The sequence below is a fragment of the Homo sapiens genome, chromosome 6 (assembly GCF_000001405.40).
Source record: "Homo sapiens chromosome 6, GRCh38.p14 Primary Assembly".
NCBI classification, from domain to species: Eukaryota; Metazoa; Chordata; class Mammalia; order Primates; family Hominidae; genus Homo; species Homo sapiens.
In genome coordinates this window covers 169,067,168-169,074,210 of record NC_000006.12, presented here as the reverse complement: position 1 = coordinate 169,074,210, position 7,043 = coordinate 169,067,168, and the positions used below count along the sequence as shown (strand labels likewise).

At 44.7% G+C, this 7,043-nt stretch overlaps 1 long non-coding RNA gene across 1 annotated transcript, besides 1 other annotated feature; it reads right to left on the bottom strand.

The window, feature by feature from the left end:
* Positions 3,198–4,397: an enhancer, noted in NCBI's record as "CDK7 strongly-dependent group 2 enhancer chr6:169469909-169471108 (GRCh37/hg19 assembly coordinates)". NCBI's record gives its function as "activates an origin of replication core promoter dependent on BRD2, BRD4, P300/CBP, MED14 and CDK7 cofactors, with strong dependence on CDK7, by STARR-seq in HCT116 cells {active_cell/tissue: HCT116}" and the evidence as "EXISTENCE:reporter gene assay evidence [ECO:0000049][PMID:35650434]".
* LOC102724357 (uncharacterized) lies at positions 4,787–6,425 on the bottom strand. The gene is made up of 2 exons (NR_134619.1): positions 6,229–6,425; positions 4,787–5,022 (listed from the first exon to the last, which is right to left on the bottom strand). It is a non-coding gene; the product is annotated as an uncharacterized LOC102724357 (long non-coding RNA).
* Between the last annotated feature and the right edge of the window lie 618 nt (positions 6,426–7,043).

Genomic DNA, 7,043 nt, shown 5'->3' with positions numbered 1-7,043 from the left:
CCAATAAGGTGAAACCTTGTCTCTACTGAAAATATGAAAATTAGCTGGGGGTGGTGGTGTGCACCTGTAGTCCCAGCTACTCGAGAGGTTGAGACAGGAGAATTGCTTGAACCCGGGAGGTGGAGGTTGCAGTGAGCCGAGATCGTGCCACTGCACTCCATCCAGCCTGGGTGACAGAGTGAGACTCCATCTCAAAGAAACAAAACAAAACAAAACAAACTATTTTGGCCTTTAAAAATATACTTTATTTTTCTCTCTTATCAAAATGCTTACTTTCAAGAAATGGATCCCAGTTTACACTAGTAATTGTCCATGTCTTTGGAATACCTGCCTGTGCTCCTGGGAGGTTGAGCTATTTCCCCATTTTACACATATGGGAACTGAGGCTTCAAGGAGTGAAATAATTTTGCTAAGATGGAACTGTAATGAAAGCACCGAGGTTTGCAGCCGTAGGGGTCTCATTACACAGAGAAGGCCGTTCTCCTGCAATGCACTGTGTGTCATGGCTAAACTCTTTCACAGCCCCGAGTGGCTCTCTGGCATGAAGCTGGTCACATAGTTTTCTGAATTTGCAATGCAGTAATTATCTAGGGTCAAGATGAAGAATTCTGTAGGAGAGGCAGCTGGGATATCTTGGTGAATTCCCAAATACTTCTATAGCCACAGGGTATTTATGAAGACCCATGGTGATGGTCAGCATTCCTAGCAGGGGTTGGGAGCATTCCACTTGACCCCAGCCCTGCTGCTCCGTCCGTTCAACTGGGCTGCTCTGGGGCTGGTGCAGCCTCTCAGGATGTGGAGTCAGGAAACCCAGGAATCCCATTCCTTGCTCCAGGCCACCCAGAACATCAGGGTGGGGCTGGTGTAGGAGCTGCAGCCTCCTGTTGTTGGTCTTATCCAGATTCCAGGCTTCTCTAGCAGACATTCTAATGTAAAGTCATATTTTGGAAAGTGATTTCATCATCTGATTCCCAAGTTTTTCTCCAGAAAATTCTGCTTTTTCATCACTTCTCAAAGGCACACTTTTAAATAAAAACCATAAAGTGTTGGTTCATATTGTTTATTCTTGTGTACAAATCTGCTGTGTCAATAAGAATAAGGTACTTTTGAAATGTAGACACACTGTGGTCCTGATGCGTTTGGTTCAATTCGGGTGAGTGCGGCTCTCGGGATGCCCCCAGTTACAGCGCCAAGTGGGTCCTTAGCTCTGGCCTCTCCCTAGCTGTGATTCCCTGGTCAAAATTCGCTCCCTAATTCTCAGGAACAACTTCAAACTCCTGCCATTCTCTTCAAACCTTGGATTTCAGGTGAAGTCCCAGCCTCAGCCGGATCTGTCAAAGGGCACTGAAGTAGAAACTGCGTCTCGGGATATGTCCTGCCTTGAGGCGAGTGCAAGGGGCTTTTGCCCGGTCACTCCCAGGCCACAGACTCATCTGGGGCTTTGGATTCCTAAGCACTCCTCCCTCCCGATGGGACACCCTGTTCCACAGCCTCTGGATACTCTCATGAGGTCTGTGGTGTGGACCCCAAGCAGCAAACCCACAGACGCACGCTGTGCATGGAATCTAAGAGGATCTGGGCAGGACCCTGGGTGGTCCGGGGCTCCGGGGAGCAGAGGCCACACTGACATTAACTGGGTGAGGATTTTACAAGGAGGAATGCCTGTGCAAGGGAAACAATGTGGGAGAGTGGCCAGGCTGGGACTCGAGTTCTACCCCAGAGGAGGACAGAGAGAAAGGAGGCTGGGAGGATGCATCTTGGACCTCTTTGTAGACTGAGAGACTGCCACTGCTGCTGCAGAGCCCCAAGGCCAAAGCCAGCGGTCAGAGAAGCCCAGCGCCTCCCCAAGGACGGGCTCCGCTAAGCCTTCCTATCCACGTGAATGTTGCTGAGGAACAGCTCCCAGGCAGTGCAGCCTTCACACTAAGGCAGCAGTGGATTGCAGATGGTTGCAGCTGGCGTCCTGTGAAGACATATTCATTGCCGCGACATCAGACATCATAAACGTGCATATGAGCACCAAGGAAGCACACGGTGTTGTATTCATCCATTTTCACACTGCTGTAAGGAACTGCCTGAAACTGGGTCATTTATAGAGGAAAGAGGTTTAATTGACTCACAGTTCAGCATGGCTGGGGAGGCCTCAGGAAACTTACAATCATGGAGGAAGGTGAAGGAGAAGCAAATACCTTCGTCACAAGGCAGCAGGAGAGAGAGAGAACCAAGAACCAAGTGAGGAGCGCCACCTTTAAACCATCAGCTCTCATGAGACTTCCTCACTATCACAACAGCCTGGGGGAAACCGCACCCACGATCCAATCACCTCCTACCAGGTCCCACCCTCGATACATGGGGATCACAATTTGAGATGAGATTTGGGTGGGGACACAGAGCCAAGCCATATCAAGTATGTTCACAGAAGTCTTATTCATTATGACCTCAAACTGAGAACACATCAAATGTCTATCAGCAGTAGCATGTATCAATAAGTAACGGTGTCTCTTTTTACAATGAGTTACTTTACAGGAATGGCATCTTCTCTACTGCATAGGACATGGATGAATGCCACAAACATCATGCAGACTAGAAGGGGTCAGACGCAAAAGACCATGTGTCACGTGACACCACGTGTGCTCAGCTTTGAAACAGACAGAGCCGCTTTGCAGCGTTGGCCCTCAGATTAGGGGTCACCTTCTGGAAGGAAGGGAGGGAGGGTGAGGAGGGCAACAGAAGTCCTTCTGAGGTGTCAATAGTACTCTATTTGCGATTATTGTCAACATAGTTTTAATCTGTAAGCAACTTGCTTAAATGTTGACAGTTATTTTGTGTGCATGTGTGTATGTTAACTATAAACCCAGCTCCCTGGTTTATAACATTTGATATGAATGGTTCCTTAATGCAGAATCAAAAACACAGGTAGGTGCACAGTCCTTGTGCATGAAAATAATTGCTACAACCATGTATTAATACGTGGGGCACAAAAAATCATGGAACCTATCTTTTTTTTTGGTTAACAGTATAAAGAATGTTATCACTCACAGTGCTATTGACTCAGTCCAGGCACTGAACTGGACACCAGGCGCTCTGAGAACAAATTGCTTGGATATTCCTAGGCTTGTTTATTTTGACATCAGTTAAAAGTAATATTGTGAAGAAGGATGGAAATAGATGTTGAAATGCTATCTGGCAGGGCAATGATTCCAATGCTTAGCACGAGGTCTGTGGTCGGTCCAGCTTGAATTCCTTTTCTCAAGATAGGTCACCTCGGATTCTCTAAGAAATGTGCACAATGCTTAAATAAAATGCCATTTTTGTCAAACTGTGTAGACACACAAAACTCAAACAGAAAATTGGCACCACAGTCCCACTTTCTGTCGTAAAACCATCTTCTCCCTCAGGCTGATTCATTCGGTCATAACCCAGCAGCCCATGAGTCTCTAAGCACCTACTGTTGGTGGAGCCTGAAGCTGTATCATGCGCCTCGAGGGGCTGACTCACAGCCCAGGGCTCAGCCGTTCACAGCGACCTCAGCGTGACTCACGCTCAGGACCCAGGTCCTGTCCAAAGTTATTAAAGCTGCACTCAGGCCCTCTGTGCCTCTGACTATCGCGTTCCTTCACAATTATTAGCAGAGAACCCCTCCTGGTGAGAGCAGGCTGAAATATCTGAAATTCATTTTCTTTTAAGGGACTCCAGTTTGGCACATAAATTTCCCCTCTTTGCTCTCCCCAGAAAACACACTGTGAATCTGGCATTTCTTTTTCATCATGCTAAGAACACATGGGAACGTCATAGTTTTAATTTACTGTATTGCATGTATTTAAGGTGTGTGACACGCTGTTTGGATCCAGTGATCTGGTCATGCACACTCATAGGGAAGCAAGGACTACAGTCAAGCCAATTAATGCGGACATCATTTCACACAGTTGCTGTGTGTGTGCGGGCATGGTAAGTGTATCAGTCAGGGTTCTCTAGAGGTACAGAGCTAATGCAATAGATGTATATGTAAAAGAGGAGTTTATTAAGTATTAACTCACCCAATCACAGGGTCCCACAATAGGCGGTCTGCAGGCTGAGGAGCAAGGAGAGCCAGGCCAAGTTCCAAAAATGAAGAATTTGGATTCTGATGTTCAAGGGCAAGAAGCATCCAGCACAGGAGAAAGATGTAGGCTGGGAGGCTAGGCCAGCCTCTCGTTTCAAGTTTTTCTGCCTGCTTTATATTCACTGGCAGCTGATTAGATGGTGCCCACTCAGATTAAGGGTGGGTCTGCCTTTCCCAGACAACTGACTCAAATGTGGATCTCCCTTGGCAACACCCTCACAGACAAACCCAGGATCAATACTTTGTATCCTTCAATCCAATCAAGTTGACACTCAGTATTAACCATCACAGTAAGGTAACCTAAAATTTACTCTCTTGGCAAATTACCAGTGTAAGGAGCAGGAATGAACACCTGGGAAATGGGAGGTTGTAGGTCAAACAGTACAGTTTCAGCTTTGTAGGATAAGTCTAGAGATCTAATGTAGAGCAGAGAAAACACATATGTGTTAAGGGTTTCAAGGAGAACGCTAGGAGCTCCCAGAAAGCCAGAGGTTTGTCTCTTTGGCCACCCACTCATGCAAGACGCATCCCCTGCTCTTGTTGTCAAGGTGACGCTGACGCAGATGGACATTGGAGTAATGAGGTCAGAAGCATAGCCTCAAACTAAAGAATGCAATCAACCAGCCAAAAGGCAAGAATTACCTTAAAATAACATAACAATCACAATAAGAAGCATGGCCGTTCTAAGGATATTCCTCGGAGCAAGCATGTTTAATGGAGCTTCATTCTAAACATTGCCCGAAATGAGAACACGAGTTCTCACCAATAGTGAACAGTAAGTCATGTGTGTGTAATTCTTGCCTATAATGCCAGCAGTCAAATCTGAAGCTTCCTGAATACTTCCTTTGGTTTCCTTGCTCCAGGTTCCTCCGGGTTAGTGGAAGCCAAAATGGGTGGCCTCATCCTGGAGATGTATTCACCTACACAAGCGAACACAAATAGTATTTCACTTCCTATCAGTTTCTGCACGGTCCTCTGAGAACTACCAGACAATGGGCAGTAGCTCAGTGGATACACAATCCACTCAGGACTTCCAGATCACTTAAAAACTGGGGCCCGGTAACAAGGAAGTCTGAATTAGCCCTATTTTCCAGTGTTAACACACCACCCTCACGCAAATGCTAGGTGCACATCAAAAAGATACCCTTGATTTTTAAAAATGACTTATCCGTGTAAGTGATAAAAATGAGAAGTCAATGGACTATGGTGTAACTATTTTTAAACCCTTTGCCTGTCTCATGTGCAAAAGCCAATTCAGATAAAAAAGTATGGAATTTAGTCAAAAATAATGTCTGGCGGCCATGGATGGCAGAAGCCGTTTTAGAGGCTGGGACCCTGGACGCCTGAACATGGAGGCTTTGACGTCTCCCCGTACCACCAGCCTCTGCCAAGAGTTGTCTTTGGAGGACAACCTCACTCAAGATAATCTTTCCTTTCTCTTCTGAATCTGGTTTTGTACTTTTTTGGTTTTCCCTCTCAGCTTCCCTCAAAGAACATGGTGATTTTTCTAGATTTATCTAGGGAAGAAAAACAGCAGATTTAAATAGCCATTGTAGCAGCAATGCCATTTTGGCTGCGTTTATGACAAGCAAGTGATCCGTGGTGCTGTTTACTTGGTCTGACATTTTGGTTCTTTGGTGAAAGTGTCTTATAAAATGGGGGTTGGAACTGCCTGAGTCAGTGGACAAAGGAAATCAGATTTATAGGGAGGTGAAAATGAGCCTTCTGAAGTTAGCCTCGTGAGTAGGTTTTGCGTAGATACCTACAGATTATGCTGAAACAATACAAACTTTTTTTTTTTTTACTTACCAAGGTAGAAGACAGGTCTTAAGTATTTTGCAAAATCAATTCAGAATATCATTGTAGGATAAAAATATAAGTAATTATGTTAATTTTGTGTAGGAAATGAGCTTTTAATGAAAGAACAGAAATCTCATATGTGAACCAAATTGAGCAAAGGAATCTGTTTCTGTATTTCTATATTCTAATGTATGTTTTTATATTTCTATATTCTAATGTATGTTTTAACATACTCCATTGAAAGATTTCAGAGCAATAGCAACTCGGTACCAACGAAGACCTCTAGCAGTCATAAAAAAAAAAGAGAGAGAGAGAATATGACTTACTCTCTAGTGCTTTAGAATTTACAAGGCACTTTTTTACAACCACATATATTTTATACTTTGATTCTTTTAGAAGCTCTGTATCGGAGGTGGAAGTTAGTGTAACTTTATAAATTAACAACAAACTGTGGTTAAAAAGAAAAGTCACATTATGATGCTAGAACACCGAGAGCAATGTTTAGGCCAAGTTTGCAGGGCTCCATGTCTGCTTCTCTTTATCCCGCCCATTGTGATTGGCTCCTCTTTATCCCTCTCATTGTGATTGGCTCCTCTTGATCCCACCCATTGTGATTGGCTCCTCTTGATCCCTCCCATTGTGATTGGCTCCTCTTGATCCCTCCCATTGTGATTGGCTCCTCTTGATCCCTCCCATTGTGATTGGCTCCTCTTGATCCCTCCCATTGTGATTGGCTCCTCTTGATCCCTCCCATTGTGATTGCATAGATTGTATCATATGCAAAATATTTGTTGGCAACAGATGCCACATTAACATCACTTGGAAAAATACTTTTGCTAACACGCTCATAGATTCCTTTGTTCGTTCATTTATGAAGCAGATGGCAATTAAGCGCACAGGCTTCATGCTGTGTCCCACTTTGTCCTGACACCGGAACAGTGCAGAGATTCGATCCGTAACCACTCCTGTGTGTGTGTGTGTGGGGGGGGGGGGGGGGGTGCATATATTTGATGGCATTCCATGGTTAAATTTTATACTAGAAATTCATTCTACATTTTAAAATGAAATGTTACTGCCTTAAACTCCATATTAGGAGACAAGGACTTGCAAGGGAGCCACGCACACAGCACATACCCAAATA